Source organism: Homo sapiens, chromosome 2 (genome assembly GCF_000001405.40).
Source record: "Homo sapiens chromosome 2, GRCh38.p14 Primary Assembly".
Classification (NCBI taxonomy): domain Eukaryota; kingdom Metazoa; phylum Chordata; class Mammalia; order Primates; family Hominidae; genus Homo; species Homo sapiens.
The window spans coordinates 171,893,825-171,916,946 of record NC_000002.12 but is presented as its reverse complement, the minus strand read 5'-3'; the positions used below and the strand labels follow the sequence as shown (position 1 = coordinate 171,916,946).

At 43.3% G+C, this 23,122-nt stretch overlaps 1 protein-coding gene and 1 long non-coding RNA gene across 3 annotated transcripts in view, besides 4 other annotated features; both read left to right on the top strand.

Moving 5' to 3' along the window:
• Positions 1-145: 145 nt before the first annotated feature.
• Positions 146-13,821, top strand: LOC105373739 (uncharacterized). The gene is made up of 3 exons (XR_923578.1): positions 146-179; positions 1,117-1,255; positions 13,716-13,821. It is a non-coding gene; the product is annotated as an uncharacterized LOC105373739 (long non-coding RNA).
• Positions 21,924-22,490: an enhancer, noted in NCBI's record as "H3K27ac hESC enhancer chr2:172750967-172751533 (GRCh37/hg19 assembly coordinates)". NCBI's record gives its function as "activates a minimal SCP1, AML or CMV promoter by ChIP-STARR-seq in naive H9 embryonic stem cells {active_cell/tissue: H9 hESC(naive)}" and the evidence as "EXISTENCE:reporter gene assay evidence [ECO:0000049][PMID:30033119]".
• Positions 22,461-22,780: a silencer, noted in NCBI's record as "silent region_12105". NCBI's record gives its function as "represses an Ori minimal core promoter by ATAC-STARR-seq in GM12878 lymphoblastoid cells {active_cell/tissue: GM12878}" and the evidence as "EXISTENCE:reporter gene assay evidence [ECO:0000049][PMID:35858748]".
• Positions 22,461-23,057: a biological region, named in NCBI's record as "H3K27ac hESC enhancer GRCh37_chr2:172750400-172750966".
• Positions 22,491-23,057: an enhancer, noted in NCBI's record as "H3K27ac hESC enhancer chr2:172750400-172750966 (GRCh37/hg19 assembly coordinates)". NCBI's record gives its function as "activates a minimal SCP1, AML or CMV promoter by ChIP-STARR-seq in naive H9 embryonic stem cells {active_cell/tissue: H9 hESC(naive)}" and the evidence as "EXISTENCE:reporter gene assay evidence [ECO:0000049][PMID:30033119]".
• The window catches only part of SLC25A12 (solute carrier family 25 member 12), a 110,840-nt gene continuing 110,420 nt past the window's right edge, over positions 22,703-23,122 (top strand). For both annotated transcript variants that reach the window (NR_047549.2, NM_003705.5), the window contains exon 1: positions 22,703-22,744. Coding sequence is in view for 1 of the 2 variants with exons in the window: in NM_003705.5 (NP_003696.2) it covers positions 22,733-22,744 (12 nt within the window). In the remaining variant the exon portion in view is untranslated. The remainder of the gene's footprint in view (positions 22,745-23,122) is intronic.

Below are 23,122 nucleotides of genomic sequence, written 5' to 3'. Positions count from 1 at the left end.
GGAGACCAGCTTGACCAACATGGAGAAATCCCGTCTCAAAGAAAAATACAGAATTAGCCGGGTGTGGTGGTGCATGCCTGTAATCCCAGCTACTCGGGAGGCTGAGGCAGGAGAATCACTTGAACCCGGGAGGCAGAGGTTGCGGTGAGCCAAGATCACGCCATTGCACTCCAGCCTGGGTAACTAGAGCAAAATTCCGTCTCAAAAAAAAAAAAAAAAGAGAAACTTATCCATCTTTTTGGAGGTTTTTAGACATGGTTGCTAACTCCCTATCCTCTTCTCTACATTCGACGTATTATGGTACACAGACTCTAAGGGAAGCAATTTAATCAAAACTAGGAACAATTAGTTGAAAACTAATATTTTCCATTTTGCATTTTGTCATTATTTACAAGCAAAGATTGGCCAAAATAACAAGCACTATAATTATTTATACCTGTTTTCAAAATGACTGTCCAGTGATGCCTGCTTTACTTTTGGAAACTAATTTATTAGAATGGCATTAATTATGTATTTGTCTACTTTTGGTAGGTAATACAATAATAACTGTGATATTATACATTCTATCATTAAAATGCTATTTTAAGTATTATTATTATTATTTTTTTTTTTTTTGAGACGGAGTCTCACTCTGTCGCCTCTGTCCCAAAGTGCTGGGATTACAGGTGTGAGCCACCGCACCAGGCCATTGTCTTTCTTTTAATGTAAAAAAACACATAACATATAACTTACCATGTTAACTATTTTTAAGTTTATAGTTCAGTAATATTAAGAATATATTCACCTTGTTGTGAAATCTGTCATTTTAATAGGTTGGTTTTCAGTCAACTCCTTTGTAACCTATTTACCTATATCACTATGTACAGCAGGAGTTTTAACTTCCCATGATGTGGACACACAAAGTAACAAGGTTTATACCAACTGTATAATGGTGCTAGTTCAGTGTTTAGTTCATAAACCTTAAAAGAATAAAAATAAAGTTTAGTTTTATGGTAGTGTTTTCTCTAATTCTTTTTACAAATTGGAGTTTTGAGGGACTATATGAAGTCAACAAGCTAAATCAACCACTGTGCAAGTTAGTGAAAATTAAAGAGATTTTTTTCAAAAATTTTCTAGGGGGATCCAGACTTTAAGGTTAACTTCATTAATCGCATAAACACAGGGCCAGTCCCTTTGCCAGTCAGTTGAATGAATTAAGAGGAAGAAAGTCATACTGACTGGCATCACATGACACAAAGAGAACCTGCTTTATCAGGTAAGAAGGGTGAGTCGGTAGGGGTAGGATGCATTTAAAGAATAAAAGATTTGCTTTTTAAAATCTTTTCAAAATTAAATTTTGTTTTATATGAGGAAGTCAGTGTTAGTATAGATAGGATTTTATTTTTTAATATAGTTTAAGAGAAACTAAGGCAGTTGAATAATACAGAATCAGGAATTTTAGAGCCAAGTGGCTTTAGAAATCAGATAATCTCGTCATTATGATACATTTTTATTTGGCACACATATGTGTAACAACTTTTGGTCATATCTCCTTAAAAATGTATGCTTTTTACTACTGTTAATTCACATATTAAATATTACTATTAATGTTTTATTTTTTAGACAAAAAAGATCATAAATACTCACTTTTAATACTATTTTTTTTTTTTTTTTGAGATGGAGTCTCACTCTGTTGCCCAGGCTGGAGTGTAGAGGCATGATCTTAGCACACTGCAACCTCTGCCTCCCAGGTCCAAGGGATGGGCCCACCTCAGCCTCCCGCCTCCTGAGTAGCTGGGATTATAGGCGCATACTACCACGCCCGGCTTTTTTTCGGGTGTGTGAGACAGAGTCTGGATCTATTGCCCAGGCTGGAGTGCACTGGCACGATCTTGGCTCACTGCAACCTCCACCTCCTGGGCTCAAGCAATCCTCCTGCCTCCCGAGTAGCTGGGACTATAGGCACGTACCTATAGGCCCGGCACCATGCCCAGATAATTTTTTGTACTTTTAGTAGAGATGGGGTTTCACTATGTTGGCCAGGCTGGTCTTGAACTCCTGATCTCAAGTGATCAGCCCAGCTCAGCCTCCCAAAATGCTAGGATTACAAGCATGAACCACCGTGCCTGGCCCCAGCTAATTTTTTTATTTTTAGTAGAGATGGGATTTCACCATGTTGGCCAGGCTGGTCTCAGACTTCTGACCGCAAGTGATTTGCCTGCCTCGGCCTCCCAAAGTGCTGGGATTACAGGCATAAGCCACTGTGCTCAGCTGCATTTTTAATACTTTCTGTCCCAGTAGATCACTTGTGCACCCGTGAAGGTCCCTGCCTTAATTTCACACTCTCGATTATCAGTAAGAAACTGATAAGCTGATATTATGGCCCAAGTCTCTCAAATGGTTCTGTTTTTCTACTTTTTTTCTTCCCCTTTCATGTTGTAGAAAGGGCCAATTTGCTGCCTTTACTTTGCAGAGAAAGTCACTGTGTCTGACATATGGTTGATACCTATTAAATGTTTGTTAAATGACTGCGTAGTAATACCAAGAACATATTTTTCCTCCCAAATAACTAAGCTTTCACTGTTGTTTAAGTATTTCACAGCTCTTGAGATTGAAAACTGCTAAGTTTCTTTGCTTTAAAAAACATCCTTAAGCATGTGATTAGAATCAGGGACTAAAAAGTGTCTCATCCACGTTTAACCCATTACTACCAACACATGTGTAACACAGGCCTTGCCCTCTGAATGTCACCAGGGAATAGCTGTGGCGGAAGGTGAGTAAGCAACACAATTTCCAAGAGGTGATCTTTTGCCACAGTAAATTGTATCCCTGGTACAATAGCTCTAAAGAGACAATTTTCTGGGACATGGGAGTATTCTTGGAGACAAGCCCACCAGTAGCTCTGGATTTCCCTAGACAATTTTAACTCAGATTAGGTTCCAGCTTTCTTACCAAGCTCTAAGAAAGCCTGGCTATTCCCCATCAGGAGCTTACCCTCCTTCTCTCTACCCTTCAATCAATTAAGCACCTGAACATTCAAACACTAAATGTAAACTGTCATCTTCCCAGATCCAGAGACCTGTTCGGAATACATTTATGGAATCAAGGAGAGGTACTGGGCAATTGATACAGTGAATATAATATCCTTCCTCCTCTTCTCCTCGGGTTTCCCACAACAAACAGGAACACGCTGCTGTACCATGCAGCAGTCCCACATTTCACCCTGAGTAAGACTTTTTTTTTTTTTTTTTTTGAGACAGAGTCTTGCCCTCTCACTTCTCTCCAGCAGGCTTCATTGAGGCTTGCTGTTTTGAGGGCCTGCTATGTTCATTCACCAAGGTAGGCCTGCTTATCACAGAAGGACTGCCTCAACTTTCTGATCTGTCCTTCTGGGGATAATGGTGAATCATTACCTTCTCTACTTTTAAGCTTATTTGCTCCTTATTGATAACTTCTCTGTTAGGTTCAGGGTCAGGTTCCAGCCCATGCTGAGGTCCGGAGGGAGCAGGTGGATTGAAACCACCTTTGCAAAATTATGACTGGGACAGTGAAAGAGGTTTAACTTAACTGACTCCATTTTGCTTTTAACCTCCAAGCTGTCCTTGTTCATTCCTGGGCGTAGGCTGAACTAACTTTGGGAGAAACTTTATAGTTTAATCAAAGACAGTAACAGCCCTTTCCCAAAGCAGACCTCCTCCTTGCCTGGGGACTAGATTGCCTTAGTAGGACTAACATTAGCCACAAGATTAGAAATTATGGTTTAGGAGTCATGCAGCTGGAGGCTACAAGATTCTGACCCTCCGTAAACTGCTTTTAAGATCAGTGCTTGAGATATTTTGCAAACCCTGCACTTGATGGATCAGCTGGCCCCACCCAGATCAATAAACTGGCCCATCTGATTTTGTGGCCCCCACCCAGGAACTGACTGAGCGCAACAAGACAGCTCTGACTCCCTATGATTTCATCTCTGATCAATTAGCACTCCTGGCTCACTGGCTTCCCCCCACCCACCAAGGTATCCTTAAAAACTCTGCTCCCGGAATGCTCAGGGAGACTCATTTGAGTAATAATAAAACTCCTGGCCGGGCGCGGTGGCTCACGCCTGTAATCCCAGTACTTTGGGAGGACGAGGCGGGCGGATCACGAGGTGAGGAGATCGAGACCATCCTGGTTAACACGGTGAAACCCCATCTCTACTAAAAACACAAAAAATTAGCTGGGCATGGTGGCGGGTGCCTGTAGTCCCAGCTACTCAGGAGGCTGAGGCAGGAGAATGGTGTGAACCGGAGAGGTGGAGCTTGCAGTGAGCCGAGATTGCGCCACTGCACTCCAGCCTAGGCGACAGAGCGAGACTCCATCTCAAAATAATAACAATAATAATAGTAATAATAATAAAACTCCAGTCTTCCACACAACCGGCCCTGCGTGAATTACTCTTTCTCAATTGCAATTCCCCTGTCTTGATGAATTGGCTCTGTCTAGGCAGCGGGCAAGGTGAACCCCTTGGTCGGTTACAGGATGAGTGGCAAATAGGTGGAAGAACACTCGGGGGGCTGTAGGCAGGTGAAATACGGCTTTATTCAGCAGCTCTCTTACACTGTCTGCTCTGTCCGGGCTGCTTGAGCCTGTGGCTCCCATGCACAGTGGCGCCAGCCGCCTCTCCCTTGCTTTCAGGGTCAGCAGCTTAACTTTTTCTCTCTCTGAGGACAAGCAAGTCTAGCTGTGTCCTGGATCCCTCCTGTCCATCTGTAAGATGGACAGCTTTGGCTCGCTCTCTTTCTCTGGGTGCGAGCATGCCTGTACGGTGTCAGTAGGGCATTTATACCTTTTACAGACAATGTGGTGTAGAACCAAGTGATGGCCTTCCTATGTTATGGCTACATGGCTGTGATAACAGGTGGAGTTATACGCCTGCGCTCTAAACTCTCTGAGTCACTCTGGATAGTTACCTTGGCCCCTCCTTGACCAAAGCACAGCCATTTCCTTATACTCTACAAGGCTGGATCTATGTTATCTTCATCCCTGAGTTCTCACTTGAAGTGAGAGCAATTCTTTTAACTAACATTTACTAAAGACTTTTATTCAGATTAATTGTTGTATTGAATACATTATTTAAGTTTGCCCATATCTTCTCTTCTTAGGCCCCCTCTCAGGTTTCTTTATCCCCTTCCTTCCCTGCCTGATCCTTAAGGACAATCCCTATATAAATGGAATGATCTATTTACCCCGAGATACTGGGTTATATTCTCATTAACTGAATCTTATCTAAAAATATGAATGTGACTTTTTAAAAAACATGTAATATTCTGAATACTTGGAGAAATGAAAATTTTCATTTAAAAAAGTAATAAAATTTCAAAAGGTTTCTAAAATCTTTTAAAATATTAACAGATAATTATAACTTTTTTTTTTTTTTGAGACTGAGTCTCACTCTATTGCCCAGGCTGGAGTGTGATGGCGTGATCTTGGCTCACTGCAACCTCTGCCTCCCAGGTTCAAGTGATTCTTGTGCCTCAGCCTCCTGAGTAGCTGGGATTACAGGTGCCCGCCAACATACCCAGCTAATTTTTGTGTTTTTAGTAGAGACGGGGTTTCACCGTGTTGGCCAGGCTGGTCTCGAACTCCTGACCTCAAGTGATCTGCCCGCCTCAGCCTCCCAAAGTGCTGGGATTACAAGGGTGAGCCACTGCGCCCAGCCTATAACATTTTGTTTTATGCCAGCTTTGTTAAGGAAGGATCGCAAGAAAGACCAGAAATAATTTTTTTTTTCTTTTTTTTTTTGAGACAGAGTCTTGCTCTGTCGCCCAGGCTGGAGTGCAGTGATGCCATCTCAGCTCACTGCAACCTCCACCTCCCGGGTTCAAGCAATTCTCCTTCCTCAGCCTTCCGAGTAGCGAGGATTACAGGCGCCTGCCACCACGCCCAGCTAATTTTTGTATTTTTAGTAGAGATGGGGTTTCACCATCTTGGCCAGGCTGGTCTCGAACTCCTGACCTCGTGATCCACCTGCCTCAACCTCCCAAAGTGCTGGGATTACAGGTGTGAGCCACTGTGCCCAGCCAAGAAATTTTCTTTTTCAAAAATGTGTGGCTGCAAACCTACATTGTCCTTGGATGTGTAGAAGTCCTGCTGAGCTAAATTGTATGTTTCTTTCATTTGGTAAAGATGTTTGCTATTTTTTCCTTTGCATGTGGACTTTGAAGTTATTTTATTCTCATATTTTGAAGTTCGTATTGTACTTTTGAGTAAATATAGGACTGCAGCAGGGAGATGACAAATGTCCAATTCATTCAAATAGTATCAGTATGACTTAATTTCCTTAGGTTTTGCTTTGCTTTTTGTTAAATGAAATAGATTATATGTTTAAATACCAAATGACAATTTTATTTACTACTATAAGGTTTAATTATATATGAGTACATATCTAACCACAAATGAAAATTGTGTTGTATATTTAGTATATTACAACACATCCATTTACTAAAGGTAGAAAGATAATTATCTAAATCATGTGACAGATAAGAACAATAGCTGTGATTTGAAAGGGTCATTCTTTGATAAACCTCATTATTTTTATGCTGTTTAGTTCATATGTATTTTTCACTGGGGTCATACAAGGTTGAGATTTTTAAAAAAAAATGATAACCATGAACATTTAATCTTTTTTTGTGCCAGTCTTGAGGTTAAGGCACTCCTACATATGAGATCAGTGTACCACAAGTAGTTCCAGGAGATTCTTACCTTGCTCCAGTGCCCTAAAATGTTTCAGTGTGGGAGGAAGACTTCATAAATTAGAGTCCTCATACAAATATTACCAATGATGTTATAGAAATTGGAGTGAGATAGAATGGGTTAGGATAGATGATTTCACATCAGGTGGGCCAAAGGAATCTTCACTGGAAGGCTCAAAGACATGTTCTCTGAAATATCTGCAATATTAACAATTATATGTATGGACTCCCTGCAAACTGGAATGATTGCAGATAACGGGAAAAGTCAAGCAAAATACTCAATTTTTAATGGAAAAGGGAGGAACTGAGGGATCATGCTCTGTTTAGTCTGCTTCTTTGCAAGACTATAGTGTTAAATCTTTGAAAAACAATAACCAGCCCCCACAAGAAAACCCCTGCAATTTATAGATCCACAGAAGGTAGCCAAGTATCCATCATCTAACATAGGTTTGTGAAAAGCAATCATGCTAAATAAACCTATTTTACATCTTAAACAAATAAATAACACAAAGAAGTATTATAGTACGTTTGATTAGATATGTGGTCATTGCTGACCCTATGCAAAATTGTGATTTAGGGAAAATTCAAGTATCTGCTCCAGACTTTAATATATTCAGATTATTTATACAATTGTGCTTATCACATACATACAATTTCAAGTTCTGATTCATTCACTTAACTTATGTAATAAACTATTTTCTACTCATACTTTTATGCGACCAGATTACTAAGGAATCTGAACTTGGTGGAGATTCAAAAATAAAATGTTTTCTTTTTCTCAAGTCACTGTTTCCTCAGTACTGTGTTGAATATCCTTTCCCCCCAGGCAGATTCCATAGTTTTCTGGTCTTCTTCTCTTTTTTTTTTTTTTTTTTTGAGATGGAGTCTCACTCTGTCACCCAGGCTGAAATGCAGTGGCACGATCTCAGCTCACTGTAACCTCCACCTCCCACGTTCAAGTGATTCTCCTGCCTCGGCCTTTGGAATAGCTGGGACTACAGGCACGCACCACTACACCTGGCTGACTTTTGTATTTTTAGTAGAGGTGGGGGGTTTCACCATGTTGGCCAGGCTGGTCTCGAACTCCTGACCTCAGATTATCCACCGGCCTCGGCCTCCCAAAGTGCTGGGATTACAGGTATGAGCCACCGTGCCCGACCAGCTTTCTGGTCTTTTAAGTTATTCGAAGTCTAGCATGGACTACTTTAAAACTTCAGAATTTTAAACTTGGACTAGTTTTAAAACTTCCCCATTGCTGGCCAGATTTGTAGCCATAGGGACCTGAGATGTGTAATAGATCCTGGTCAATTTTTTATGCATTCTCCCTCTCTAAGCTCCTTAAGATTGGGTTGGGGGCAGGTGGGGGGTGGTATCTGGTTCTAGGATATTTCTTCGTTTTTTTTTTTTTTCAAGGCTAACTCCTCCAGGTTAGGGGTTAGAAGTAGGAATAGAGAAGAAATGAATCTTGCTACTTAACTATATTCACTTTTGGTCATCTCTACTTCTCCAGCTGACATTGATCATCGATGTTCTTACTGCCTCTTAGATAGCATGCATTCTTAATTACTTCAATGAGCCTACAGGGGCCTCCGCATTATACCAATTTCCTGACAAGGAAACTCTGGCTCCTTGCTGCTGTGGTCTCCTGTCAGTAGGCCTTGTTTTTGGGTGGAATACTGTAAAGGCAATTCAAGCCCCAGTATCTTACAGGTTTCACTTGCCTGTAAGAAATTCACATACCATCTCTTGTGTGGCAATCAGTGTTGCTAACACAGTGACCACACATAGTCCCACACCTATCATATCATCAGAGGATGATGAAATTTGAAATGTTAGCCAATGCCAATGCTCTTCGTATGAGGTACAGGTGGAATAAGGATCAAGAATAATGTAAAATGAAGCTGCTATTGAACTCTACTTCTGTGGGTGATTATGAGGCCTAAGTTGATAATCATAACTTCCTTTTTCCACCCCTCATTCTGTGTCCCCTCATTTCTGTAAGCACCTTGACTATGTTTTATTCTTTAGTACAGTGTCCCAAACCCTAATTTCCAAATGGTCTGAGTGCACTATGGTCTTACTTCTGTTGGATTGGCTGTCTCTACTGAGTTGCCTCAGTTGGGATTCAGACGTAGTCATCCTTGCCTCATTGTATAGTAACAACCCAGTTTCTCCTTGATATTGGGGATTAATCACCACTTGGCTGTGGTGACCCTTTTCTACCTCTAGTTTTGCAGCTGAAGAAGCCCAAAATCTCCAGGAGGCAGTTTCAGTTTCCAATTCATCTGACCCATGATGGTGTTTCTTGGTGGAAGCATTTCTTCCTTGGACACTAGGGCCTCAAAATCTGTGAGCCCAAGGTTGTGGGGAAAAGAGGCAAAAATTTCTCCAGTGGAGGCCAGGCGTGGTGGCTCATGCCTGTAATCCCAGCACTTTCAGAGGCCGAGGCTGGTGGATCATGAGGTCAGGAGTTGAAGACCAGTCTGACCAATATGGTGAAATGCCGTTTCTACTAAAAATACAAAAATTAGCTGGGCATGGTGGCGTGCACTTGTACTCCCATCTACTCGGGAGGCTGAGGAAGGAAAATCTCTTGAACCCGGGAGGCGGAGGTTGCAGTGAGCCAAGATCACACCACTACATTCCAGCCTGGGAGACAGAGCAAGATTCCGTCTCAAAAAAAAATTTCTCCAGTGGATTATTTCGTGAGATAATGAGAGGGGCTGTTTTCACCTCCTCCTGTTTTTTTTTTTTGTTATTGTGTTTTTTTGTTTTTTTTTTCTCTTTTTATCTCCAATGTTCTGATATTTCAAAATGTGCCTTGGTATGGAGCCTTTCTTATTCATTGTTTTGGGTACACAGAGAACACTTTGAATACTCATCTTTTGGATATGAAAAGTTCTCTTGCGTTGTTTATTTGATAATTTCTTTTCTATCATGCTAAATTTCTATTTCCCCCAGACTTCTTAGAATTCAATTATTGGGCCCCCTGGATTAGTTCTTTGTATTTAAATCCTTTCCCTCTCTTTCTTGGTGTATTGCTCTACTTTCTGAGAGATTTTTCACAATGTTTTCATTATTATTCTTTTTATAACTTTATTACCATTTATTAGTTTTATAACCTTGGGAAAGCTGCTTAATCTCCCAGTCTCAGTTTCCTGACCTTTGAAATGGAGATAATGACATGAAATTACCCTACTTCAGAGTTGTTTGAGGATAGATTCATAGAAAGTGATTATAATAGTGCCTGAAACAAAGTAAGTACTCAGTAAATATTAGCTTATATTGGTTATTCATCAGTATCTTGTTAATTTGGTTAGCTTAAGTGATATTTGGGCCATTTACAAGATGATTTATGACATACAGAACTGATGACCATATCCTGGACATTGGTGACTTTACCACTTCAAGCCTTTTTTGGAAGAAGACCTAACAGCTGGCTTTCAGAATCGTGCCTCTCTATCTCACCATCCCCTTCAAATACAACAAGTTTTATTCCTTCTCCAGTTTTGCCTGTCTCTGTATATGTTTTTACATGTCCATGTTTTCATCTTAATATCTTGTAATAAATCTTTATTTATTTATTTATTTATTTATTTATTTTGAGGTGGAGTTTTGCTCTTGTTGCCCAGGTTGGAGTGCAATGGCATGATCTCAGCTCACTGCAACCTCCGCCTCCTGGGTTCAAGCGATTCTCCTGCCTCAGTCTCCCAAGTAGCTGGGATTACAGGCATGTGCCACCACACCCAGCTAATTATTTTTGCTATTTTTAGTAGAGACAGGTTTTCGCCATGTTGGCCAGGCTGGTCTTGAACTCCTGACCTCAGGTGATTCACCCACCTTGGCCTCCAAAAGTGCTGGGATTACAGGAGTGAGCCACCGCGCTCTGCCAAGAAATCTTTATTCTTAAAAAGGGAAGTGATGGGGGGAATATGATTCATGAAGATGATCTATCCCAGAATTTTGTGTTTATTTTGTTCTCAAACATTTTTATTAACCACTGCTTTGTACCTTACCCTGCACTAATTGCTAGGGATACACAGATTTTTGTTTTATCTTTTTCTTCAATTCCTACATTGAGCATCTACCATGCTCTAGAATCTACGTGAGTTCACATTGTATTGCAATATTTTTAAACTGTAAGTTTGGCCCACTAAAGGGTCATGCATGATATCAATTTAGTGTGTTGAAACCAAAATTAGAATAAAGAAATAGAATATAGTGTGGAATAGTAAATAACCAGAGTGTGTTGCATGTAGTAAGGTTCAGTACTGCTCTGTGAAATTTTTATTTTGGTATGTACTGGAGTTGTAAAAAAAAAATGTGTTTTTTTAATATATAGGTGTGGGTTAGTAAAGTAGTTTGAAAGCCACCAGTGGAAATGATAATAAGCAAAGAGGTAATTATAACAGTGTAATTAGGCCAGGTGCGGTGGCTCACGCCTGTAATCCCAGCACTTTGGGAGGCTGAGGCGGGTGGATCACCTGAGGTCAGGAGTGTGAGACCAGCCTGACCAACATGGAGAAACCCTCTCTCTGCTAAAAATACAAAATTACCTGGGTGTGGTGGCGCATGCCTGTAATCTCAGCTACTTGGGAGGCTGAGGCAGGAGAATCACTTGAACCTGGGAGGCAGAGGTTGCGGTGAGCCAAGATGGTGCCATTGCACTCCAGCCTAGGTGACAAAAGCGAAACTCCATCTCAAACAACAACAACAACAACAACAACAAAAGTGTGATAAATACTATGCATAGGATAGAGTTAGTGCTCAAAGGGAGGCTACCCTAAATGGGAAAACGGGGCTAGGGATTGTTTTCTGGAGGAGGAGCTTCTTCTTTTTTTTGAGACGGAGTCTTGCTCTTTCGCCCAGGCTAATTTTTGTATATTTTTTAAGAGACGGGGTTTCACCGTGTTGGCCAGGATGGTCTCAATCTCCTGACCTCATGATCCACCTGCCTCGGCCTCCCAAAGTGCTGGGATTACGGGAGTGAGCCACTGTGCCCGGTCAAGTTTGGATTTTATATTGAAGTCAGTAGAGAGCCAGTGAAGGATGGGCAAGTAACAAAATTCAATTTCTGTTTTAGATCAAACACTTGGTAGCACTGTGGAGAATGGATTTGAGGGTAGTGACAGGAGGCAGAAAGTAGAGAAGTGGAAACTGAGAGAGGAATTAGAAGGCACAATAAAGGCTATTATAATCAAAAGAAGAGCTTTTTTGGTTTGTTTATTTTTTTGAGACAGAGTCTTGCTCTGTCACCCAGGTTGGAGTACAGTGGCATGATCTCGGCTCACTGAAACCTCCGCCTCCCGGGTTCAAGTGATTCTCCTGCCTCAGCCTCCCAAGTAGCTGGGATTACAGGCGCCTGCCACCATACCCAGCTAATTTTTTGTATTTTTAGTAGAGACGGGCTTTCACCATGTTGCCCAGGCTGGTTTCGAATCCTGAGCTCAGGCAATCCACCCGCCTTGGCCTCCCAAAGTGCTGGGATTACATGTGTGAGCCACCATGCCCGGCCAAGAGAAGAGATTTAAAAAGCACTGAAGGGAATGGAAAATGCAGGACTGGGTGGCTATTTGAATGTGAGGAACAAGGGAGAGTCTGATACCTAGCTTTCTGACTCAAGCAACAAGGGCAATAGTAATGGCCTTCACTTAGGAAAGATAAGGGGACTAATTGGCTATCGGTAGAGAAACTGGCTAGGAATGATCAATAAACCATTTAATTAATACCCACATGACTAACAGCAGGCACTGAGATAAGTGTTAGGACTGAGGGTATGGATAAAGAAAGAAGGATACAATAATAAGACCTATTCTGGAAGGAATGCAGAAAAATGCTGAATTAAAGCAGAGGTGAGTTATTGTTTCCATGAAACCTTTTGTTTACCGTCCAGCTTAAACCGATTTTTTGTCTAAACCTCTCTTGCATAAATTTACCACACAATTAAGAATCCTCATATGTGCATTGTTACTTAATCGTTTTAGATGATTATGTTCCCTTCATATTTCCTGCTTACAGATATCAATAATAAGAAGGCACATATAGTATCTTGGAGATAGAGTAGAACTTCATAGCCATATAGAATTCCATATGATGAAGCATCCCACTCTCCCTGCAATGTTCTCTAGCATGTTTAAGTAAAGAAGGATTTGTCTCATCTACTGGGCAGTTGCTTCTCTGTGATCCATGCTCCTCATTACCATTCTGTTAAGTCTTGGCTTACACTCACTTAGCTGCTGTTATCCATGTAGAACCCTGAGCCTACTGTCTTTGATGAGATGATGTTGCTGCTATTGCCACATGGATCTCAGTGAGGGGGTTAGCACTTCACCGAGGAAGGTTATACTTCCTATTACTGTGATTTTTCTTCCATGCCATCAACACAACACTTGTTCGCAGATAGTGTTTTATGGAAGGGTTGGGGATGATTAGAGGAATTATAACTGTTGACTCCCTATTTTATTTCCTATCCTCACCCCAAACCATCCAGGCAAGTCCATCCACTCAGGGTGACAGAAGAGCAGAGTCAGGAGAGTGAGCAACAGCAACTGTTTCTTCTTCTTTTCAAGCAGTGATAGCGAGGCATAGTACAGGCAAGACTTCGTAGATCAGTTACTCCATGATTTATTGTCTATACTGGCTTGACTAGAGTCAAGAATTCCACAATTCTACCCACTTTCTCTCCTCAACTTGTCTCTTTTCACAAGATCTGTCTCTCCTTAAGGTCTAGCTATTTCATACTGTTTCTCCAAAACTTTCTAACTTAAACTTTCCAATTATCCTTCTGATTCGTACAATTTGATACTGATCAATATTACATTACTTCTCTAATGTAATTATTCAGGAGAAGTTTCTTCCTGGGCATATCCCAATTCCTAGCTTACTTGTCTGGTTGTCTGTAGACTTCTCTTCCTAAGTGAGTACAAACCTGTCCTCCCCTTTTTGGAAACCTCCTACTCAAAAGAGTTGGTGTTATCCTATGATTAATTCTCCTTCCCCCAACAGGGCAATCCAAGGACACAATGACCAATTGCAGGATCTTCCTCACCTACGTCTGAGTTTCTCAGTCTAGAATTACATCCTGGGTGCACTTCAGCAGAGGAGTTCCAAGTTAGGCTTTAGATTCCAAGTCTGGTTCTTTCCAAGGTAACTGTCAGTATGTTATGCAAATATACTTTCACATTCTTTTTCTAGTTTTCCTGTGGGTAACTATTAGACCGAACACACACATATACCCAAACATGCATGACCCCAAGGACATATAATTAGTGTCTGAATTTATGTTGAGGAAAACATTTTCTTTCTTGATGTAATATATATATAAACTATATGTATATATATAAACTGTATATATAAACTATATATATAAATAAACTACATATATAAACTATATATAAATTATATATATATAAACTATATATAAATTATATATATATAAACTATATATATATAAACTATATATATAAACTATATATATATATATATTTTGAGACAGAGTCTCATTCTGTCACGCAGGCTGGAGTGCAGTAGTGCAATCTCGGCTCACTGCAACCTTTGCCTTCTGGGTTCAAGCAGTTCTCCTTTCTCAGCCTCCCGAGTAGCTGGGATTATAGGTGGGCACCACCATGCCTGGCTAATTTTTGTATTTTTAGTAGAGATGGGGTTTCACCATGTTGGCCAGGCTGGTCTCGAACTCCTGGATTCAAGTGATCTGCCCACCTTGGCCTCCCAAAGTGCTGGGATTACAGGCATGAGCCACCACACCCAGCCTTCTCAATGCAATATAATTTTCACAGATTCCCCTCCCCATAAAAGAGGTATATTATTTGTCAAGCAGTTTCAGTTCTTTCTCCTCCTCTCCAACAATGCAGAGGCCTATTAGTGGTTAGGAAATAAGTCCCAGTACAATTTCTGACCAAACAACAGAATTACATACATGGATAGCCATTTTTAGAAACACAAAGACCAACACAAATTTTCCCTGACCTTTTATTATGAAAATTTTAGAATATTTAGAAAAGTTGCAACAATAATTTTTTTCAGTGAACTCCTGTATACACTCCCACAGTTAGAAATTACATACCTATTCATCCATTTCTCTATCCATCTGTAAATCTTTCTTATTTCTTTAATGCATTTCAAAGTAAATTTAAAATACTAGTATTCTCTCCCCTAAATATATCATTGGCTAGAGTTCAATATTTGCTCAGGTTGTTCTTCCTTTTGAAGGAAATTTACACACATTTGTAATTAAGTGTACAAAACTTATGTTTACATTCACTAAGTTCTGAAAAATGCATACACCTGTTATCTAAGCCCCTAGGCAAGGCATATACTACTATTATCACTTCACATAGTTCCCTTACTCCTCTTTCTGGTCAAGTCCTCTCTGGCAATCATGGCTCAAATTTTTTTTCACCAGTGATTTATTTTGCTGGTTCTAGAACTTTGTATAAACGGAATCATATGATATATGCTCTTTTGTACTATATGATTTATGCAAGGCTTCTTTCACTTAGCATCATGCTTTTGACACTTGTCCACGTTGTGTGTATCATTAGTTTACTCTATTTTATTTCTCAATAGTATTCCATTCTCCAAATATACCATAGTTTATCTATTCTTCTATTGATGGACACCTGGGTTATTTCCAGTTTTGGGCTTATTTCCAGTTTTGGGCTATTATGAATAAAGTGGCTGTGAACATTCTTGTACAGCTCTTTTAATAGACATATATTTTCATTTCTCTTGGTTAAATATTGGGAGATAGAATTGCTTGGTCATAGGTAGGTGTATGTTTAGTTTTACAAGAACCTGCTAGACTTTTTCTCAAAGTAATTATACCAGTTTACACGCCTACTGTAGTGAATAAGAACTCTGGTTGCTCCATATCCTTGCCAGCATCTGGTGTTTTCAGTCCTTAATTTTAGCTATTCTAGTAGATGTGTAGTGGTACCTTCTCACTGTGATTTAATTTGCATTTCCCTGATGACTAATGATGTTGTACACTTTTTCATGTGTTATTGACCATTTGTATACCTTATTTTGTGAAGTTCTGTTCCAGTCTTTTGCCAATTTTTAGGACTAGGTTGTTTATCATTGATGTCATTGAGATTTAGGATATATCCTGGATATTAGTCCTTTGTTGTGTATATGTTTTGCTAATATTCTCTCCCAGTTAATACCTTGCCTATTCATTTTCTTAATGCTATATTTTGAGGAAAAGACATTTTTATCTTTAGTGAAATCTAATTTATCAATTTCTTTTTCTTTTTTTTTTTTTATTGATCATTCTTGGGTGTTTCTCGCAGAGGGGGATTTGGCAGGGTCATAGGACAATAGTGGAGGGAAGGTCAGCAGATAAACAAGTGAACAAAGGTCTCTGGTTTTCCTGGGCAGAGGACCCTGCGGCCTTCCGCAGTGTTTGTGTCCCTGGGTACTTGAGATGAGGGAGTGGTGATGACTCTTAACGAGCCTGCTGCCTTCAAGCATCTGTTTAACAAAGCACATCTTGCACCGCCCTTAATCCATTTAACCCTGAGTGGACACAGCACATGTTTCAGAGAGCACAGGGTTGGGGGTAAGGTCACAGATCAACAGGATCCCAAGGCAGAAGAATTTTTCTTAGTACAGAACAAAATGAAAAGTCTCCCATGTCTACCTCTTTCTACACAGACACGGCAACCATCCAATTTCTCAATCTTTTCCCCACCTTTCCCCCCTTTCTATTCCACAAAACCGCCATTGTCATCATGGCCCGTTCTCAATGAGCTGTTGGGTACACCTCCCAGACGGGGTGGTGGCCGGGCAGAGGGGCTCCTCACTTCCCAGTAGGGGCGGCCGGGCAGAGGCGCCCCTCACCTCCCGGACGGGGCGGCTGGCCGGGCAGGGGGCTGACCCCCCCCACCTCCCTCCCGGACGGGGCGGCTGGCCGGGCAGAGGGGCTCCTCACTTCCCAGTAGGGGCGGCCGGGAAGAGGCGCCCCTCACCTCCCGGACGGGGCGGCTGGCCGGGCGGGGGGCTGACCCCCCACCTCCCTCCCGGACGGGTCGGCTGGCCGGGCGGGGCGCTGACCCCCCCCACCTCCCTCCCGGACGGGGCGGCTGGCCGGGCAGGGGGCTGACCCCCCACCTCCCTCCCGGACGGGGTGGCGGCCGGGCGGAGACGCTCCTCACTTCCCAGACGGGGCGGCTACCGGGTGGAGGGGCTCCTCACTTCTCAGACAGGGCGGTTGCCAGGCAGAGGGTCTCCTCACTTCTCAGACGGGGCAGCCGGGCAGAGACGCTCCTCACCTCCCAGACGGGGTCGCGGCCGGGCAGAGGCGCTCCTCACATCCCAGACGGGGTGGCGGGGCAGAGGCGCTCCCCACATCTCAGACGACGGGCAGCCGGGCAGAGACGCTCTCCACCTCCCAGATGGGACGGCGGCCGGGAAGAGGCGTTCCCCACCTCCCGGACGGGATGGCGGCCGGGCAGAGACGCCCCTCACCCTCCAGACTGGGCAGCTAGGCAGAGGGGCTCCCCACATCCCAGACGATGGGCAGCCAGGCAGAGACGCTCTCCACCTCCCAGACGGGGTGGCGGCCGGGCAGAGGCTGCAATCTCGGCACTCTGGGAGGCCAAGGCAGGCGGCTGGGAGGTGGAGGTTGTAGCCAGCCAAGATCACGCCACTGCACTCCAGCCTGGGCACCATTGAGCACTGAGTGAACGAGACTCCGTCTGCAATCCCGGCACCTGGGGAGGCCGAGGCTGGCGGATCACTCGCGGCTAGGAACTGGAGACCAGCCCGGCCAACACAGCGAAACCCCGTCTCCACCAAAAAAATACGAAAACCAGTCAGGCGTGGCGGCGCGCACCTGCAATCGCAGGCACTCGGCAGGCTGAGGCAGGAGAATCAGGCAGGGAGGTTGCAGTGAGCCGAGATGGCAGCAGTACAGTCCAGCTTTGGCTCGGCATCAGAGGGAGACCGTGGAAAGAGAGGGAGAGGGAGACTGTGGGGAGAGGAAGAGGGAGAGGCAGAGGGAGAGGCAGAGGCAGAGGCAGAGGCAGAGGCAGAGGCAGAGGAATTTATCAATTTCTTAATGTATTGTTATTGCTTTTTAGGTTTTGATTAAGAAAACTTTACCTACCTCCAAGTTACAAAGATAGATCTATCTATCTATTCTATATATATACATATATGTGTATATATATATGTTTTATATATATGTTATATATATATGTTTTATATATATATATGTTATATATATATATATATATATATATATATATATATATATATATATTAGAGACACAGGGTCTTACTGTGTTGCCAAGGCTGGGGTGCAGTGGCTGTTCACAGCCATGATCATCACTACAGCCTTGAACTCCTGGCCTCAAGTGATCCTCCTGCCTCAGCCTCTTGAGTAGCTAGGACTCCAAGCACATGTCATGGCACCTAGCCACAAAGATACTCTTTTATGTTTTCTACTAAAACCTTTGTTTATAAAGCTGTTGGGGGCAGCTTTATAACTTCAGCTTTTGCATTTAGGTCTATGATTCATCTCAAATCAAATTTAGTATATGGTGTGAGGTAGGGATTTAGGTTCATTAATTTTCCCACACTGATATCTAGTTATTCTAGCATCAATTGTTGAAAAGTTTCCTTGCCCCCACTGAATTGCTTTGGCAACTTTGTTAGAAATCAAATGACTTTGGCCAGGCAAGATAACTCACACCTGTAATCCCAGCACTTTGGGAGGCCAAGGCAGGAGGACTGCTTGAACCCAGGAGTTCAAGAACAGCCTGGTAACATAGAGAGACCCTTTCTCTACAAAAATTAAAAATTTAGCTGGGTATGGTGGTGCATGCCTATAATCCTAGCTACTCAGGAGGCTTCAGTCTGAGGACTGCTTGAACCCAGGAGGTCGGGGCTGCAGTGAGCCATGATCATGCCACTGCACTCCAGCCTGGGTGACAGAGTGAAATCCTGTCTTGAAGAAAAAAAAAAGGGAAAAGAAAGAAAAGAAAAAAACAAAGAAAGAGAGAGAAAGAAGAAGAAAGAAAAAAACAGAAAGAAAGAAAGAAAAAAGGAAGAAAGAAAGAAAAAAGAAAGAAAGAAAGAAAGAGGGAAAGAGCCAATGACTTTATAATTTTGGATCTATTTCTGGGCTCTCTATTCTGTTCCATTGATCTGTTTATCAATTCATATGCCAGCCAGCAGCACTATGCTGTAGCAATTTCTTAAGCTTTATAGTAAGTCTTGGAGCCAGGTAGTCTAAGTCCTCCAACTTTGTTCCTTCTCAAATTTGCTTTGGCTATTTTGGGACCTTTGCTTTTCTCCCACACAATTTTTAAAGTGACACTTTCTTCTTTACTTTGGATCAGGTCCAAAGTATTCTTCCTCATTGACCTCTAAGTAGAAGAGAAACAAAAAGCATCCAAATAAATCGACAGGGGTAGGGTAGGGGTGGGTAGCTGAGGGACCTGGCAGGATGTTTATTCTCCCAGTTATATATTTCTGACTGGAGTGAGAATATGTGGCAAGCCACACAGTCTTTACCCCATCATTACCTAAAGCTGCCTTGGGCACTGGCACAGGACAACAGGTTTCAATATCATTCTTTTCACATTATTCATTAAAAAATGAATAGTAAGCTGGGCGCTGTGGCTCATGCCTGTAATCCCAGCACTTTGGGAGGCCAAGGCAGGCAGATCACCTGAGGTCAGGAGTTTGAGACCAGCCTGACCAACATGGAGAAACCCCATCTCTACTAAAAATACAAAATTAGCCGGGCATTGTGGCAGCATATGCCTGTAATCCCAGCTACTTGGGAGGCTGAGGCAGGAGAATTGCTTGAACCCAGGAGGTGGAGGTTGCGGTGAACCAAGATCATGCCGTTGCACTCCAGCCTAGGCAACAAGAGTGAAACTACGTCTCAAAAAAAAAAAAAAGAAAAAAAAAAGAATGGTAGCACTTGCCTCGGTAAAATATTCTCTATACTTTGGGAACGATGCTATTTCTCTTATGTTTCCTGTAGCTGCAACCCAAGTTTTTTTGGTTTTTTTTGTTTTTTTTGTTTTTTTTTTTTGAGACAGAGTCTTGCTCTGTCGCTCAGGCTGGAGTGCAGTGGTGTGGTCTTGGCTCACTGCAACCTCTGCCTTTTGGGTTCAAGGGATTCTTCTTCTTTTTTTTTTGAGACGGAGTTTTGCCCTTATTGCTCAGGCTGGAGTGCAATGGCATGATCTCGGCTCACCACAACCACCACCTCCCAGGTTCAAGCAATTCTCCTGCCTCAGCCTCCCGAGTAGCTGGGATTACAGGCATGAGCCTGTAATTTTTTTTTTTTTTTTTTTTAGTAGAGATGGAGTCTCTTCCTTGTTAGTCAGGCTGGTCTTGAACTCCCGACCTCAGGTGATCCACCCACCTCTGCCTCCCAAAGTGCTGGAATTACAGGCATAAGCCACTGTGCCCGGGCTTTTTTTTTTTTTTTTTTCCCAGAGACAGAGTCTCGCTCTGTTGCCCAGGCTGGAGTGCAGTGGCACAATCTCAGCTCACTTCAACCTCCACCTCCCGGGTTCTAGCAATTCTCCTGTCTCAGCCTCCCGAGTGGCTGGGACTACAGGTGCACACCACCACACCTGGCTAACTTTTTTGTATTTTAGTAGAGACAGGGTTCACTGTGTTGCCCAGGCTGGTCTTGAACTCCTGAGCTCAGGCAATCCACCCGCCTTGGCCTCCCAAAGCACTAGGATTACACGTGTGAGCCACCGTGCCTGGCCTCAAGAGATTCTTCTGTCTCAGCCTCCTGAGTAGCTGGGACTACAGGTGCACGCCACCACACCCAGCTAATTTTTGTATTTTTGTAGAGAGGGGGTTTCACCATATTGGACAGGCTGGTCTTGAACTCCTGACCTTGTGATCCACCCGCCTTGGCCTCCCAAAGTGCTGGGATTACAGGTGTGAGCCACTGCACCCGGCTGCAACACATGTTTTACACAAACGCAAGGCACTCAATAAATGTTTATTAACTAAAATTTGGCTCCTTTTAAATCATGAAATTAGAGTGTTTGAAGAAGCATTAAAGCTCATCTAGTTCAATCCTCCATCTGATTATATAGTGTCCTACTAAATACCAGGTTATACATAATTAGTATAGTGATAGAGTACTCACAGCCATATATGTCTAGAGCAGCTCATTCCATGAATTCCTTCCAAAATTCACTGAAAAGAAAACTGTTTGTTATTGCTTCACCAAGGGAATAAAGAAGGCTGTGGTCCAAAAATAAGATCACCATCATCTCCACTGCATAATTTATAGGATTTAGAGTCAGGCTGTGAGGAAGACAGTTCAGGAAAAGACATAACTGCAGGAGTACAACTATTTCTTCTGATTTTTGATACCCCTCTCTTCCATTTCCACCAAAACGAGAATTTATTTCAATGACAGCAAATGTTCATATAGGGAGAATAGTTGTACAGTATAGAGAAGCCCTAAAGTGTGTCATTTATCTAGTGTCTAATTATAAGTGGCTTGGGCGAAACCCCATAGCTACTAAAAATACAAAATTAGCCAGGCATGGTGGCGTGCACCTGTAATCCCAGCTACTTGGGAGGCTGAGGCAGGAGAATTGCTTGAACCCAGGAGGCAGAGGTTGCAGTGAGCCAAGATGGCGCCACTGCACTCCAGCCTGGGCGATAGAGCGAGACTCCGTCTCAAAAAATTAAAAATGAAAACATACACAGGGTCGGGCGCGGTGGCTCACGCCTGTAATCCCAGCACTTTGGGAAGCCGAGGTGGGCGGATCACCAGAGGTCAGAAGTTTGAGACAAACCTGGCCAACATAGTGAAACCCTGTCTCTACTAAAAATACAAAAAATTAACTGGGCATTGCGGCGGGTGCCTGTAATCCCAGCTACTCGGGAGGCCAAGGCAAGAGAATCTCTTGAACCTGGGAGGTGGACGTTGCAGTGAGTCAAGATGGTGCCACTGCACTCCAGCCTGGGCGACAGAGCGAGACTCAGTCTCAACACACACACACACAGACACACATACACACAATACACATGTGATTGGGGTTGTGGAGAAGCATTGACCATCTGTAAGCCCCTAGAGGGTGGGGGCTATAGGTTATTTGCGTTTTTTACAAGCAGGACCATGTCAGGCATATAATGGATGCCCATACATGTTTGAATCAATATGTAGCCTAATACAGTGATATTGGCAAGACGGGTTTAGAAACATTGTTTTGGTTCAAGATAGAGTTACTGCTTCTTCTACTTCTTAGGTAGGGCTAGAAATCGAATGGAGAATTACTTTCTGTTCATGTATGGGCAAGCGATTCATTGCCAGCCCTGTCAAAGACACATAGAGTTTTTTTTCTCATTGCACACAGGATTTGGGTGATTAGGAAAGTGGAGCGAGTCTACTAATAAACCGTTGTAATAGCACGCAAAGCAAAAATAAATTCAGCGTATTCGTCCCATGCCAATTTAGGAGCATATTTCTCAAATTATGTTTACGTAGGTTTTCCCTAGAGTGAGTGGTTCCCAATCTTGTTTTGTCGGTATTTGCCATCAGTTGTCATTAATTCATTGTTATTAATGGGAAGTGCTCTTTGATCCGTCGGAACCTTGCTCAGTATAGGCCCCAAATGTTCCTTTAAGCCTCGGGGAAAACGACTTTGGCTGGTCGGTGCCCAAAGCCACACCCACTAAGAGGCCTTAGGAAACCTGGGGCTTTCCTGGCGGCGACCTAGCTGTGGCAACCACGCGGCGCGTCGGGATCCCATGGGTCGCGCTTGTTTTCCCCGTGGGAGGCGCGTCCCCCTCCTCCGCCCGGCCGGCCGGCCCTGGACCAGCTGCCTTTCTGGCCGGGACGCCGGGCCCCTTTCCGCACGCGGCGCGCCCCGAGTTCATTTGCATAGGGACGCGCGCGGCGCCGGCGAGAGGGAGGGCGGGCGCGGCCGGGAAGACGGCGCGCGCGCGCCCTGACAGCTCGGCCCTGCTCGCTCACTCGCTCGTCCCCGGCTTCCGAGCACAGCATGGCGGTCAAGGTGACTCCAACTCTCTGCTGCTGCTTTTATTGCATAAGAGACATTCCGAGCGCCCTGCCTGCAGCCCCCCACTGCTTCCCATTTTATTCATTGTCTAGGTCTTAGATAGCTTGTCCTGGGGCTCCGGCTTGCTGCGGGGAGAGCTGTGCGGGGCTTGGACCGGAGGAGGGGATGCCCGGCTGGGGGAGGGGAAGGAGGAGGGATTGTGAGTTGAAGGGGCTTGTACGGTAACACGGGTCAGTGAAGGAAGAGTAATGTCCTGTCCTAGGTGCATGGGATTGTGAGTCCGGAGTTGGAGGGCATCAGAAAGGGTGTGGGAGGAAGTGGCAAGTAAAGCTGGGGATACCTAGGGTATCAGTGAATTGCGGTGGGGGAGGG